General features: G+C 41.2%; 4 annotated features.

The window, feature by feature from the left end:
- Positions 10,111-10,632: an enhancer, noted in NCBI's record as "H3K27ac-H3K4me1 hESC enhancer chr4:141746857-141747378 (GRCh37/hg19 assembly coordinates)". NCBI's record gives its function as "activates a minimal SCP1, AML or CMV promoter by ChIP-STARR-seq in naive and primed H9 embryonic stem cells {active_cell/tissue: H9 hESC(naive and primed)}" and the evidence as "EXISTENCE:reporter gene assay evidence [ECO:0000049][PMID:30033119]".
- Positions 10,312-10,361: a silencer, noted in NCBI's record as "silent region_15713". NCBI's record gives its function as "represses an Ori minimal core promoter by ATAC-STARR-seq in GM12878 lymphoblastoid cells {active_cell/tissue: GM12878}" and the evidence as "EXISTENCE:reporter gene assay evidence [ECO:0000049][PMID:35858748]".
- Positions 10,512-10,561: a silencer, noted in NCBI's record as "silent region_15714". NCBI's record gives its function as "represses an Ori minimal core promoter by ATAC-STARR-seq in GM12878 lymphoblastoid cells {active_cell/tissue: GM12878}" and the evidence as "EXISTENCE:reporter gene assay evidence [ECO:0000049][PMID:35858748]".
- Positions 10,633-11,153: an enhancer, noted in NCBI's record as "H3K27ac-H3K4me1 hESC enhancer chr4:141747379-141747899 (GRCh37/hg19 assembly coordinates)". NCBI's record gives its function as "activates a minimal SCP1, AML or CMV promoter by ChIP-STARR-seq in naive H9 embryonic stem cells {active_cell/tissue: H9 hESC(naive)}" and the evidence as "EXISTENCE:reporter gene assay evidence [ECO:0000049][PMID:30033119]".

The raw sequence follows: 16,064 nt of genomic DNA on the forward strand, positions 1-16,064 counted from the left end.
TGGCCAGGATGGTCTCAATCTCCTGACCTCATGATCCGCCTGCCTTGGCCTCCCAAAGTGCTGGGATTATAAGCATGACCCACCGCACCTGGCCCAATGCCTGTGATTTCTAACTTTGCAATGCCTTTGGGATCCATTCCCTCTTCTCTATTTCTTCTATCACTGCCACAGACTTAAAAAAAATCATCTCTGGCAGTATCGTGTTATTGGTTCTAGTCTTCAGCCAGCAGCTTTCTAAAATACACATCTGAGCTTGTTACTTCCTTTAAAAAAATATTTATATATATATAATGGCTTTCCATGGCCATTAGGAGACTGTAAATTCTTTGGCAAGAATAATCAATAATCATCACACTCTGGTTTATTCTTTGCAATCTTCTCCCACTATCAGCAATTATGTAACTCATAGTCTAATGCTTTGACTATTTGGCATTTCCCCAAAATGCCTTATAAAGTCCTACCCCTGTATCCTTTTTCATGCTAGTCCCTCTACCTGAAATATGTAAGAAAACCCATAAGTACAGTAAGGGGTAAGAAAACAGGAGTGATTGCCATTCTCTGGCATCATTGGCAGGACATTTCTTTTGGAGAGATGGACCTGCAATGGGGAATAATGTGGCACACAATGTGTCTTCATGGTGGTGAAAGATATAAATGACACTGAAAATCAGAAGAAGTTTGCGAGTCCAAACAGCATTTCAGACCATTTAATTTTGGGCAGGCCAGTTGTGGTCGCTCACACCTGTAATTCCAGCACTTTGGGAGGCTGAGAAGGCAGATTGCTTGAGCCCAGCAGTTTGAGACCAGCCTGGGTAACAAGTCAAAACCCTGTCTCTCTGCCAAAGGTACAAAAATTAACCAAGTATGGTAGCTCACACCTCTAATCCCAGCTACTCAAGAGGGTGAGGTGGGAGGATCCCTTGAGCCCGGGAGGCAGATGTTGACGTGAACCAAAATTGCAAAACTGCACTCCAGAGTGAGACCTTTTCGCAAAAAAAAAAAATTAAAAACAATAATTTTTGGCAAACTCTTTTATCTTGTAGAACCACAGATTCACCAACTGAAAACTGGGTATGGAGAGCATCATTTCAGCTAACAGTAATAACATACCTTTAGAAGAGATAGTGTGTTGGGCTCTCTGAAGGTTGATGCTAATTGGAAAACAGCACAAAAGCAAACCAAATTAAACTCTAGTCTCTACCATTGAGGAGCTTCCTCTAAGAATTACCAAAATCAGCGTCTGAGGCAGGCTGGACTGGTGTGAGCATTCTGATGGCTGCAAGAGGCAGCGAGGTCTCAGATGAAAAAGTGGGAACCAAGTGAATCCTTCACCCTGCTTCTTCCACTTGGTATGCCCCCCTTCTTCCTGACAGTAACTAGCTCTTCCGGAAGGCAGCAGAATCAGCATTTACCTGGGCTGCAGATGTCTCTCCCACAGAGCTTCCCTGCTGGTGATAAACAGCCTGGGGAAGTGACGATGGAGCATGTGGCAAATATCCAGTGAACACTGAAGGCAGATAACACACCTCCTTTAGACACAAGTGGAATCCATTCTGGATTACAGAATGGGCTATAGGGCCAGTGAAATGTTTCCCCACATGCACTCTTCACCCTAGCACTTACTTCTCCCTTCTTCATCTTTTGGTCATAATGAAGACTATGAAGAGATAATGGATCTGGGGTGGTGGATGAGGGCAATTAGTGGCCTGCCGCAGCAGCTTTGATAATATCATTGTGTGGCTTAAAAACACAACTGGTGTGCCTTCCAATATGTTCTAAATTGTTTTCAAAAAAGAACTTTCTCACATCATTCAGAGCATTATTCTCATGCTGGGGTATTTGATCAGCCTGGACACTTGGGCTTGCAGAACTCCATAAATACTTTTGATTACAGTGAGAGAGACAGAATTGGAATCAGCTGTGGCAAAGTGTGTTTGGAGAAACATTTTCAGAATATGAGAATATCATGCTTATGGGGATGGTTTAGGCGTTAGCACCAGGAGAAGGATATTTGGAAGAAAATCCTATAAATGATGGAAATCTTACACATATGGCAGGATTGTCTTAGTTTTCCTAGAGAGTGTAGACTAGGGCTAGCACCCAGGCTAGCACTCTTTCTGAAACTGGCCACTGTCTCTGGTGATACTATCTCTGCCATAGGCTACTGACAATGTACCACATGTAGGATGCCAGCTGATGAATAAGTGACTAAACACTCAGCAACTATCACTGTAGTGAAACTTAAAGCTTTTTTTTTTTTTGGCTTTTTTGTTTGTTTGTTTGAGACAGGGTCTCACTCTGTTGCCCAGAATGGAGGGTAGTGGTGTGATCACGGCTCACTGCAGCCTCAATCCCTGGGCTCAGGTAATCCTCCCACCTCAGCCACCTGAGTAACTGGGACTACTGGTGTGCCCCCCCCATGCCCAGCTATTTTTTGTATTTGTGTGTGTGTGCGTCTGTAGAGACAGGATTTTGCCATGTTGCCAGGCCAGTCTTGAACTCTGGGGCTCAAGTGACCTGCCCACCTCAGCCTCCCAAAGTGCTGGGATTACAGGCATGAGCAACTGAACCCAGCTGAAGCACAAAACTTTATGAGAGTGAATTGATTATGGAGAAATGGTGGAAATGTTGCCCTGATACACCAGTCAGAAGATGTGAGAAAACAGTTGAAACAGAAGCAAGGAAATGAGAATTTTGATGACAGTATTGCATCTGTCTGAGAGTTTGTTCTTTCTGCCAGTTCCTTGGGCTTATGCCTTAGTCTAGGGTGGAAGGGATGAATAACAGAAAAGCAAGGAGTGGTTCTCACACATGGCTCACTGTTGGGCACTGGGAACCGAGGCAAGTCTCCCCTGGAATCATGGTGACAGAATGGTAGGGGAAGGCATGCTCTCCACTTTGGGATGTTTTTTTTTTTTTTTTTTTTTGGTCAATATTCAATATAATGGGAGGGCTGTTTTAAGGCAGATCTGTATTGACTCAGAGTGACCTTGATGGCCAACCCCCATGGTAGAGAAGAAGCATCTTGATTTGACTTTGTCAGCAAAATTGGGAAAGAGAGCCAGAGCAGAAGAAAAGGAAAGAACATGTGCCCAGGCGTGGCAGTACATGTTTGTTTGGGAGGTTCTCCCACTACCCCAGGAAGGTTGGAGAAAGGGGAGAAGGAGGCCTCACCCAAGTGGGTGGAAATGAACCAGATAAGTGTGTTATATTAAATCACCAAAATAAAGTGTCTCAAACACCTTTCAACTTACGCCAAATCCTAAGTCATGACATTGCTAAGAGGCTACTTGCTGTTCTTTTCCCAATTTAATTTAGAGGCTTGCGGATTTCATTTGACACAGTCCTGTTAGGTATCTACAAAGGTTCTATATGCAGCTGTAAATTTGCTTTTCTAAGAAAAGACTACAAAGATGCATCTTGATTTTTCACCTAAGTGTTCTTATGAAGATAAAACTCTTAAAAGATGAACTTCATATTTTCTTGGTTTATGACCGTTTTATTTTATTTTATTTTATTGTTTTTTGGCTTCTTAAGAAGGAGACTTTCACACCTAGAGATGAGCTAGAGTTATTTTATGTGTGCATCTGCTATCTTCTAGACTTCTTCAGGGGTCACTGTCAGCAATTACCAAGCATTCGCCTTTTCTATTACTAATAATTGTACATTTTTGTAATGCTGTTAAGCTCACAGAGCACAATAACCTAACACCTTAATATATTTTCTTCTCACAAGCTATGGGCTACATTTTACAGATAAGAAAACTAAAACTCGAATATTGTCTTCAAGGACTAGCTGCTAATGGGACAGATGCTGCCTAAAGCTGGGCCTCCTGGCTTTAAAGCTGTATTCTGTCTGCTATGTAAAGGGATACTGTACTACCAGTAAGTGTTATTTATAAGTCATTTCTAAAACGTAATTCTATCCAGACCTTGTCAACCAAATCGATGAGCCGGAAAAAAATGATAGGTTTTCCCTCTCTTTGACATAATTGAGAAAATTGACCAAAATGCAGCCTATGGGAAGAAGAAAATTTTTCAGAAATCTCAAGTTGTAATTTTGGTGTATGTTTCTCTGATAGAAGTTTGCCAATACAATGTTGGGCATGTGCAGTGTGGCTCTTTCTTGATGCACTAATCTCTCATATAGAGTACACAACATAGGGCTTGCTCCCTTTTACAATAAACTGCTGTCTTCTTTTGTCCCTGTCTTTCTCATTCAAAATCTGGGCAGGGCGCAGGAAAGCCCACAAGGAGACCACAGAGTCACCCCTTGCTGATGCAACAATATGCCTAAAGCTGTTAAAACTACAAGCCATCCTCTTGTAAAACACCACAAGGCAAAGTGGGCATGGCCCACATTTCTCCCTTGGTCATCCCTCAAAACTCTACCTTTTCTGATTTCATTTTCCCTTTAGTGTTCAATTTTATCTGATGTCCCTCATTTGAATATATTAGGGGCTGCCACGATTTCATTAGCCCTGTTTAGGCAGAAAACAAATACTGTTTCTCTTGTTGAATGACAGATTTTGCATGTTCTTCCTAGAATATATTACTTAAAAAACCCACTTGAGTTCCATTTTGTCCTGAGGTAAAAAGCTCACATGATTGATATGAGTAAAGTGTTTGAAACCATGGCACCTGGTCACTGATGGCTTCAGCACTAAAGCAAGTTAACTTGCTATTTCTGGAGGAATGACTGTCAGTTCAGCAATGTATTAGAACTTTTTTTTTTTTTTTTTTTTTTTACTGTGAGAAAGTTCCTCCTTTTTTAAATATTTTTTATTTTTTTATTATACTTTAAGATTTAGGGTCCATGTGCACAACGTGCAGGTTTGTTACATGTGTATACATGTGCCATGTTGGTGTGCTGTACCCATTAACTCGTCATTTAGCATTAGGTATATCTCCTAATGCTATCTCACCCCCCTCCCCCCACCCCACAACAGGCCCTGGTGTGTGATGTTCCCCTTCCTGTGTCCACGTGTTCTCATTGTTCAGTTCCCACCTATGAGTGAGAACATGTGGTGTTTGTTTCTTTGTCCTTGCCATAGTTTGCTGAGAATGATGGTTTCCAGCTTCATCCGTGTCCCTCCAAAGGACATGAACTCATCCTTTTTTATGGCTGCATAGTATTCCATGGCGTATATGTGCCACATTTTCTTAATCCATTCTGTTATTGTTGGACATTTGGGTTGGTTCCAAGTCTTTGCTATTGTGAATAGTGCCACAATAAACATACATGTACATGTGTCTTTATAGCAGCATGATTTATTGTCCTTTGGGTATATACCCAGTAATGGGATGGCTGGGTCAAATGGTAATTGTAGTTCTAGATCCCTGAGGAATCACCGCACCGACTTCTGCAAAGGTTGAACTAGTTTGCAGTCCCACCAACAGTGTAAAAGTGTTCCTATTTCTCCACATCCTCTCCGGCACCTGTTGTTTCCTGACTTTTTAATGATCGCCATTCTAACTGGTGTGAGATGGTATCTCATTGTGGTTTTGATTTGCATTCTCTGATGGCCAGTGATGATGAGCATTTTTTCATGTGTCTGTTGGCTGCATAAATGTCTTCTTTTGAGAAGTGTCTGTTCATATCCTTCACCCATTTGTTGATGGGGTTGTTTGTTTTTTTCTTGTAAATTTGTTTGAGTTCTTTGTGGATTCTGGATATTAGCCCTTTGTCAGATGAGTAGATTGTAAAAATTTTCTCCCATTCTGTAGGTTGCCTGTTCACTCTGATGGTAGTTTCTTTTGCTGTGCAGAAGCTCTTTAGTTTAATTAGATCCCATTTGTCAATTTTGGCTTTTGTTGCCATTGCTTTTGGTGTTTTAGACATGAAGTCCTTGCCCATGCCTATGTCCTGAATGGTATTGTCTAGGTATTCTTCTAGGGTTTTTATGGTTTTAGGTCTAACATTTAAGTCTTTAATCCATCTTGAATTAATTTTTGTATAAGGTGTAAGGAAGGGATCCAGTTTCAGCTTTCTACACATGGCTAGCCAGTTTTCCCAGCACCATATATTAAATAGGGAATCCTTTCCCCATTGCTTGTTTTTGTCAGGTTTGTCAAAGATCAGAGAGTTGTAGATATGTGGCATTATTTCTGAGGGCTCTGTTCTGTTCCATTGATCTATATCTCTGTTTTGGTACCAGTACCATGCTGTTTTGGTTACTGTAACCTTGTAGTATAGTTTGAAGTCAGGTAGCGTGATGTCTCCAGCTTTGTTCTTTTGGCTTAGGATTAACTTGGCAATGTGGGCTCTTTTTTGGTTCCATATGAACTTTAAAGTAGTTTTTTCCAATTCTGTGAAGAAAGTCATTGGTAACTTGATGGGGATGGCATTGAATCTATAAATTACCTTGGGCAGTATGGCCATTTTCATGATATTGATTCTTCCTACCCATGGGCATGGAATGTTCTTCCATTTGTTTGTATCCTCTTTTATTTCATTGAGCAGTGGTTTGTAGTTTTCCTTGAAGAGATCCTTCGCATTCCTTGTAAGTTGGATTCCTAGGTATTTTATTCTCTTTGAAACAATTGTGAATGGGAGTTCACTCATGATTTGGCTGTTTGTCTGTTATTGGAGTATAAGAATGCTTGTGATTTTTGCACATTGATTTTGTATCCTGAGACTTTGCTGAAGTTGCCTGTCAGCTTAAGGAGATTTTGGGCTGAGACTATGGGGTTTTCTAGATATACAACCATGTCATCTGCAAACAGGGACAATTTGACTTCCTTTTTTCCTAATTGAATACCCTTTATTTCCTTCTCCTGCCTAATTGCCCTGGCCAGAAATTCCAACACTGTGTTGAATACGAGTGGTGAGAGAGGGCATCCCTGTCTTGTGCCAGTTTTCAAAGGGAATGCTTCCAGTTTTTGCCCATTCAGTATGATATTGGCTGTGGGTTTGTCATAGATAGCTCTTATTATTTTGAGATATGTCCCATCAATACCTAATTTATTGAGAGTTTTTAGCATGAAGGGCTGTTGAATTTTATCAAAGGCCTTTTCTGCATCTATTGAGATAATCATGTGGTTTTTGTCTTTGGTTCTGTTTATATGCTGGATTACATTTATTGATTTGCGTATGTTGAACCAGCCTTGCATCCCAGGGATAAAGCCCACTTGATCATGGTGGATAAGCTTTTTGATGTGCTGCTGGATTTGGTTTGCCCGTATTTTATTGAGGATTTTTGCATCAATGTTCATCAGGGATATTGGTCTGAAATTCTCTTTTTTTGTTGTGTCTCTGCCAGTCTTTGGTATCAGGATGATGCTGGCCTCATAAAATGAGTTAGGGACGATTCCCTTTTTTCTATTGATTGGAATAGTTTCAGAAGGAATGGTACCAGCTCCTCCTTGTACCTCTGGTAGAATTCGACTGTGAATCCGTCTGGTCCTGGACTTTTTTTGGTTGGTAAGCTATTAATTATTGCCTGAATTTCAGAGCCTGTTATTGGTCTATTCAGAGATTCAACTTCTTCCTGGTTTAGTCTTGGGAGGGTGTATGTGTCGAGGAATTTACCCATTTCTTCTAGATTTTCTAGTTTATTTGCATAGAGGTGTTTATAGTATTCACTGATGGTAGTTTGTATTCCTGTGGGATTGGTGGCGATATCCCCTTTGTCATTTTTTATTGTGTCTATTTGATTCTTCTCTCTTTTCTTCTTTATTAGTCTTGCTAGCAGTCTATCAATTTTGTTGATCTTTTCAGAAAACCAGCTCCTGGATTCATTGATTTTTTTTGTGTCTCTATCTCCTTCAGTTCTGCTCTGATCTTAGTTATTTCTTGCCTTCTGCTAGCTTTTGAATGTGTTTCCTCTTGCTTCTCTAGTTCTTTTAATTGTGATGTTAGGGTGTCAATTTTAGATCTTTCCTGCTTTCTCTTGTGGGCATTTAGTGCTATAAATTTCCCTCTACACACTGCTTTGAATGTGTCCCAGAGATTCTGGTATGTTGTGTCTTTGTTGTCATTGGTTTCAAAGAACATCTTTATTTCTGCCTTCATTTCGTTATGTATCCAGCAGTCATTCAGGAGCAGGTTGTTCAGTTTCCATGTAGTTGAGTGGTTTTGAGTGAGTTTTTTAATCCTGAGTTCTAGTTTGATTGCACTGTGGTCTGAGAGACAGTTTGTTATAATTTCTGTTCTTTTACATTTGCTGAGGAGTGCTTCCAACTATGTGGTCAATTTTGGAATAGGTGTGGTGCGGTGCTGAGAAGAATGTATATTCTCTTGATTTGGGGTGGAGAGTTCTGTAGATGTCTATTAGGTCTGCTTGGTGTAGAGCTGAGTTCAATTCCTGGATATCCTTGTTAACTTTCTGTCTCCTTGATCCGTCTAATGTTGACAGTGGGGTGTTAAAGTCTCCCATTATGATTGTGTGGGAGTCTAAGTCTCTTTGTAGGTTTCTAAGTTCTTGCTTTATGAATCTGAGTGCTCTTGTATTGGGTGCATATATATTTAGGATAGTTAGCTCTTCTTGTTGCATTGATCCCTTTACCATTACATAATGGCCTTCTTTGTCTCTTTTGATCTTTGTTGGTTTGAAGTCTGTTTTATCAGAGACTAGGATTGCAACCCCTGCCTTTTTTTGTTTCCATTTGCTTGGTAGATCTTCCTCCATCCCTTTATTTTGAGCCTATGTGTGTCTCTGCACGTGAGATGGGTCTCCCAAATACAGCACACTGATCAGTCTTGACTCTTTATCCAATTTGCCAGTCTGTTTCTTTTAATTGGAGCATTTAGCCCATTTACATTTAAGGTTAATATTGTTATATGTGAATTTGATCCTGTCATTATGATGTTAGCTGGTTATTTTGCTCATTAGTTGATGCAGTTTCTTCCTAGCCTTAATGGTCTTTACAATTTGGCATGTTTTTGCAGTGGCTGGTACCGGTTGTTCATTTCCATGTTTAGTGCTTCCTTCAGGAGCCATGTAAGGCCAGCCTGGTGGTGACAAAATCTCTCAGCATTTGCTTGTCTGTAAAGGATTTTATTTCTCCTTCACTTATGAAGCTTATTTTGGCTGGATATGAAATTCTGGGTTGAAAATTCTTTTCTTTAAGAATGTTGAATATTGGCCCCCACTCTCTTCTGGCTTGTAGAGTTTCTGCCAAGAGATCAGCTGTTAGTCTGATGGGACCCGACCTTTCTCTCTGGCTGCCCTTAGTATTTTTTCCTTCATTTCAACTTTGGTGAATCTGACAATTATGTGTCTTGGAGTTGCTCTTCTTGACGAATATCTTTGTGGTGTTCTCTGTATATCCTGAATTTGAATGTTGGCCTGCCTTGCTAGATTGGGGAAGTTCTCCTGGATAATATCCTGCAGAGTGTTTTCCAGTTTGGTTCCATTCTCCCGTCACTTTCAGGTACAGCAATCGGGTGTAGATTTGGTCTTTTCACATAGTCTTATATTTCTTGGAGGCTTTGTTCGTTTCTTTTTATTCTTTTTTCTCTAAGCTTCTCTTCTTGCTTCATTTCATTCATTTGATCTTCCATCACTGATACCCTTTCTTCCAGTTGATCGAATCGGCTACTGAGGCTTGTGCATTAGTCACGTAGTTCTCGTGCCGTGGTTTTCAGTTCTATCAGGTCCTTTAAGTACTTCTCTGCATTGGTTATTCTAGTTATCCATTCGTCTAATTTTTTTTCAAGGTTTTCAACTTCTTTGCCATGGGTTCAAACTTCCTCCTTTAGCTTGGAGAAGTTTGATCTTCTGAAGCCTTCTTCTCTCAACTTGTCAAAGTCATTCTCTGTCCAGCTTTGTTCTGTTGCTGTTGAGGAGCTGCATTCCTTTGGAGGAGGAGAGGTGCTCTGATTTTTTAGAATTTCCGGTTTTTCTGCTCTGTTTTTTCCCCATCTTTGTGGTTTTATCTACCTTTCGTCCTTGATAACGGTGACATACAGATGGGGTTTTGATGTGGATGTCCTTTCTGTCTGTTAGTTTTCCTTCTAACAGGTGTGTTGCAGTTAGCTGCACCTCAGCTGCAGGTGTGTTGGAGTTTGCTGGCGGTCCACTCCAGACCCTGTTTGCCTGGGTATCCACATTGGGGGCTGCAGAACAGCAAATATTGGTGAACAGCAAATGTTGCTGCCTGATCGTTCCTCTGGAAGTTTTGTCTCAGAGGAGTACCCAGCCGTGTGAGGGGTCAGGCTGCCCCTACTGGGGGTGCCTCCCAGTTAGGCTACTCAGGCGTCAGGGACCCACTTGAGGAGGCAGTCTGTCTGTTCTCAGATCTCAAGCTGTGTGCTGGGAGAACCACTACTGTCTTCCAAACTGTCAGACAGGGGCATTTAAGTCTGCAGAGGTTTCTGCTGCCTTTTGTTTGGCTGTGCCCTGCCCCGAGAGGTGGAGTCTACAGAGGCAGGCAGGCCTCCTTGAGCTGTGGTGGGCTCCACCCAGTTCGAGCTTCCTGGCTGCTTTGTTTACCTACTCAAGCCTAGGCAATTGCGGGTGCCCCTCCCCCAGCCTCACTGCCGCCTTGCAGTTTGATCTCAGACTGCTGTGCTAGCAATGAGCAAGGCTCCGTGGGCGTAGGACCCTCTGAGCCAGGCGTGGGATAAAATCTCCTGGTGTGCCGTTTGCTAAGACCATTGGAAAAGCGCAGTATTAGGGTGGGAGTGACCCGATTTTCCAGGTGCTGTCTGTCACCCCTTTCTTTAACTAGGAAAGGGAATTCCCTGACCTCTTGTGCTTCCCGGGTGAGGCAATGCCTCGCCATGCTTCGGCTCACACTCGGTGTGCTGCAACCACAGTCCTGCACCCACTCTCCGACACTCCCCAATGAGATGAACCCAGTACCTCAGTTGGAAATACAGAAATCACCTGTCTTCTGTGTCGCTCACTTTGGGAGCTGTAGACTGGAGCTGTTCCTATTTGGCCATCTTGGCTCCACCTGCTTTTTTTTTTTTTTGAGACGGAGTCTCACTCTGTCACCCAGGTTGGAGTGCAGGGGCGTGATCTCGGCTCACTGCAAGCTCCGCCTCCCAGGTTTATGCCATTCTCCTGCCTCAGCCTCCTGAGTAGCTGGCACCACAGGCAATGTATTAGAACTTCTTTAGGTCCAACAGCAAGACACGGTGCAGAGCAGGAGAATTTCCTACCAGTTAGGTGGTAACCAAGAATAATTCTAGACAACAGCTAAGTGATGACAGGTGTAATCTTCCTGCATACATGGTTTCAGTGTCAAACGCACTATTTCAGTTTCTAACATATTCAAGCACGGACAATATATGAAACATGCACATTTGTGTACTGTGTGGAGCACCTTTTGTTTTTCTGGCTATTGTTGTCTTGGTTCCTCTAATTTGCTTCCAGTTTGTGCAGGGCATGCCTAACAGTGAGCTGGAGGTCTGGATCTTGCAGGGGTTTGTCCCATAGTTTGGGTGACTTGGATAGGACCTGAACTTGTCCTACTGGAGCTGGTGTCCACTTGCTTAAGAGTGGCTAGTTCTTTCACTCAAAGCTGCTGCTCTGGAGAGCCATAGGTAGGTGTAGGAAATGGAGGTACAATGAACTTTCTAATCACTTCCCTTATGATAAGAATGCCTTTATATTTGTATCTGATATCTGTGTTACAAAGCACTTTCAAGTTGCTAAATATTATGATTTCTGTAAGAATCTTGTTGTCAGGAAGGATTATTATCCAGAGTCCACAAATGGAGAAACTGAGAAACCTAGGGATAAGAAATAAGGAGTAAGAACAAATGTTACTTTTTGTTACCATTTACTGAGCACCTACTAGGTACCAGTCATGGTCATCACTGCTGTATTCATATGATCACTGATTTGGGTATCAGACCTTAATCTCATTTCATTGACAAAGAATCTGATGCTAAATTGCTCAGTTAGGTAAATGTTTTCCTCAAGGATACAGAGAAAGTTCCAGAGCTGGATATAAACTCAGGCTCCTGTGGCTCCAAATCTCAGGGTCTTTCTACCATATCACACTTAGGTGATTTGCTCAAGGAAGCCGAGGTCTTCTGACTTTAGAACTAATTTGCTTTCCAATGCATCAAGATATCTCTTTGTGGTATAATCTTCTTATAGCTATTTTAAAGCTCCTCTTTAACTGATGTGCTCTCCTATATTCCCTTTCTCACATACCTAGATTTCCCTAAGAAGAATGTCCAACTAAAAATGATGTTTCCTAACATGGCTTGGTAGCACTTCGGGTTATAGCCAAATCATGATATTCTCAAAACAAAGGCAAGCTTAATTGCCTTTTTTTTCTTTTAAATAAAAAAGAAAATACATACTGAGCAGCACTTTTTAGAAAGAAGAGGGTGGCATTATGGAATATTATTATCCTAGGCAAGCCTTGGGTTTGGAGCATTTCCACTTCTATTAGTCAAGGATCTTTCATTGAAAGAAAATTAACTCAAAACATCTTCAGGAACAAAGGCATTGACTAGTTCAGATTCATGAAAGGTCTTGGGTAGACTACATGCTGGCTCTGTCTTTTTCCACTTCTTACCTCTGTTTTCCTCTGTGTTGTTTTCATTCTCAGAGAGGCCCTCTCTAAGGGACAATGTATTAGTTTGCTAGGGCTGCTGTAACTAAGTACCATATGCTGGTGGTTTAGGCAACAGAAATCTATTGTCTCCCAGTTCTGGAGGCTGGAGGTCCAAGATCAAGACACAAACAGGGTTAGTTCCTTCTTACGGCTATGAGGCAGAGTCTTTTCCAGGCCTCTCTCCTTGGCTTTTAGACAGCTGCCTTCTCCCTGTGTCTCTTCACATTATCTTCCCTCTATGCCTCTGTCTCTGTCTGTCTGTGCCAAAGTTTCCCTTTTTATAGAGACATCAGTCATGTTGGATTAGGACCTACTATAATGATCTTATTTTTAATTGTAAAGACTGCATCACCAAATAAGATCATATTTTGAGGTCCTGGGAGTTAGGACTCCAACATATGAATTTGGCAGACAGGGGGGCAATTCAGCTTATAACAAGTGGGAAGATTGCTACTCCAGAGTTACAAGGTCTGGGTAGTTCCCAATCCTAGAGAAAAGTGAGCCACCCTCAAAGCATAGAATCTCCTGCGAGTCCGACTGTCTCTGGCTGGTCAGGTGTGCATATCTTAGACCCATCCCTGTGGACATGTGGATGGTTTCTGGAGTGGTGGGGAGCCACAAGTGTTTTTTGTTTGTTTGTTTGTTTGTTTGTTTGTTTTGTAGTATAAGTGGGTGGAGTCAGCTCCTCTTCTCCAGTAACTTCCTCCTTAAGCCACTGTCCAATCAGCAATATAACCTATGGGATTTTCAGTGTTCTAGGGGCAGCTCTGCCAAAAAAGGAGAATGTTTCCTGACTCCCCAAAAGCTAGAGGTCACCTTCATCATAAAGGGTTTTATTTATTTGCTTGTTTCTTTTAATCAAGACAACACCAATAGCAAGAATTTTATGGTCTAGGGATGAGCCAGTGGACTTTATGGAGCTAATGATGTTCCTTGGAAAATCAGAAGCCCACTCAACTATGTTGTTTCTTAGATTCATTCATGTATAGTCAAGCTGGGCTAACTGTTCTTACAATCCCCAAATTTAGTGAATTCACACAATAAAGGTGTATTTTTTGTTCATGTCATCATCCAATTCAGGACAAGGGGTCTCTGCCCCATTCAGTTGTTTGGGGACTCAGGCTTCTTCCACTTGGCTTCTTTGCCATGGGCCTTGGCGTCTTCTACTGGGTCATCTGCATCTGCCTGGCACACGGGGAGAGATGATGTGGAGGGTTGGTGTGGAGATTTTAGAGGACTATCCTGAAAATGGCACCCATGATTTCTGCACATGTTCTATGGGCCAGAACTCTGTCACATGGCCTCTTCTAGATGGAAGAGGCTAGGAAATGTAATCTAAAAGCATGCTCAAGAGAAAGGAAAAGTGGATTTGTTGGGCATCTGACTATTTTCTGCCACAACCTACCCATCCATCCACTTATCCATCTATCAACCTACTTAACATTTTTTTTTTTACACCTATTGTGTGTCAGGCACTTTGTTCATCAGGAGCTCACAGTTTCTGGGAAACAGGCTGAAAAAATGACCTCTACAATAGGGTTGGTGTTACAGGGAGATGTAAATAGGGCACTAGGGAAATATTAAAGAAGGAAAAACTCACTCTGCCTAGGGGTTGGGAAAGCCTTTCAGGAGTGAGGCTTAAACTGGACTTTGAGGAAGAAGTAGGATAGTGCAAGGGCATTCCATAGAAGGAACAGCATGGAGGAAGTCATGGAGTTGTGGAAAAGCATGATGTGTTTGAGAAATAGCTAGTAGTCCAGTGCAGCTGGAGGATAGAGAGTGTTGAGAAACTTCTCCCTCCCTAGGACTTTGGAGTGGCCTAAGAGGATGACTCCAGTCTTGTTGCCACTGGATTTGAATCTACAGTTCATTAGGTTATTATCTACAGTTTCCTGTTTCTTTGTTTCACATAGTTTTTGATCCTCATATGCAACAAACACCTGTCATGGGCCTGAGAATTCTCTAGTTCTAGGGAGAAGCAGAGAATGAAAAGTGGAACAGAGAAAAGGGAGGAGCCCATGTTTTGGTCCAATTCCCCTTGAAGTCTTAAGTTTGAATGTCATAGGTTTACCTTGAAATTTTATTGTGCAAGATTAACTAAATGAACACAATTGCTTTAACAGAATCTGAAGTAAATCAATATCTTCACCTCCCTCTGAAATAAATCAACAGCTGCTGAATATTTTAACATTGACCGCTCCTCTCCCAATTTACATAATTTTGTTATTTTTTATAAGTAAATTTAATGAGGGTCTGTTGGTAGTAAACTTTCTTAGTATCTGTCTATCTATCTATCTATCTATCTATCTATCTATCTATCTATCTATCTATCTATCTATCTATCTGGAAAATGTCTTTATTTAGGCAACAGACTAGGGACCAGGAAGGATGATTAAATATAGGCTCTGCCTCTCTGGTCTATAGCCTGCCTGGTGACATTACTTTCCATTTAGTCTCTCAATACATCTGTATTCTCTTTCAGTGACCATTTATATGAGGCTCTTACAAGTGCTTTATATTCTCCCATGCCAAACCTGTTTTTGATATAACATTTAAGTTAGGAATCTTTTGGAAAATCCTCAAAGAACTGTCCCTTTACCTAAAGGATACATCCAAGAGGCAGGATTGTGGAAGCTGATTTACAAACGGTGAAGCCAATGGAAAAATTGGTTTCTACAAGCCATAATTTAGATTTTACTACTGGCCTATCATTTTTGAAAATAAACCTATAATTGTGGAATATTTTTAGATTTACATTAAAGTTGCAAAAATACAAAGAGTTCACATGTGACTCTTACCAGATTCAGTTTCCCCTAATGCTTTCATTTTGTATTACTGACGTGCACTTATCAAAACTAAATATATACATTGATATGTTACTATTAACTAAACTGCAGACTTTATTTAGATTTCACCATTTTTTTCCCATGAATGCCCCTTTTCTGTTATAGGATCCCACTAAGGATATTATAACATTGCATTTAGTCATCCTATCTCCTTAGTCTCCGCTGGTCTGTGACAGTTTCTCAAAGACTGATCTTGACAGTTTTGAATAGTGCTAGTCAGGTATTTTGTAGAATGTTCCCCAATTTGTCCATTAGACAAATTGTCCAACAAATGGTTAGAGTGGGGTTATAGGCTTATGGTGAAGACTACCACACAGATGAATTACTCTTCTTATCACATCATATCAGGGGATACATTGGTCCATCATTTTAAAGACTCGATTTCTTTGTTGTTGTTGTTTTTTCTCTCGAATCTCATGACAGATTAAGAATTGATTTCTTTTCTTAGAACCTTGAAAGGCCTTTAGGTTACTTCTTTCTTCATATGATATATCCTATGCAAATCTCTCCTGATTTGGCTCCTTACAATCTGCCGACAAACATTCTCTAACCTCTCCCACACTGCAGACACTTTGTCTTTTAATTCTGCCCTTCCCTCAAGCTGCTTATCTTCCTCTCCATCCTTCCCTTTCTACCTCTCTCTCTCTCACCACCACCTCTTTATCCCATTTCAGACCATCAGTTCACATCTGAACTT

Source organism: Homo sapiens, chromosome 4 (assembly GCF_000001405.40).
Source record: "Homo sapiens chromosome 4, GRCh38.p14 Primary Assembly".
In the NCBI taxonomy this organism is placed as follows: domain Eukaryota; kingdom Metazoa; phylum Chordata; class Mammalia; order Primates; family Hominidae; genus Homo; species Homo sapiens.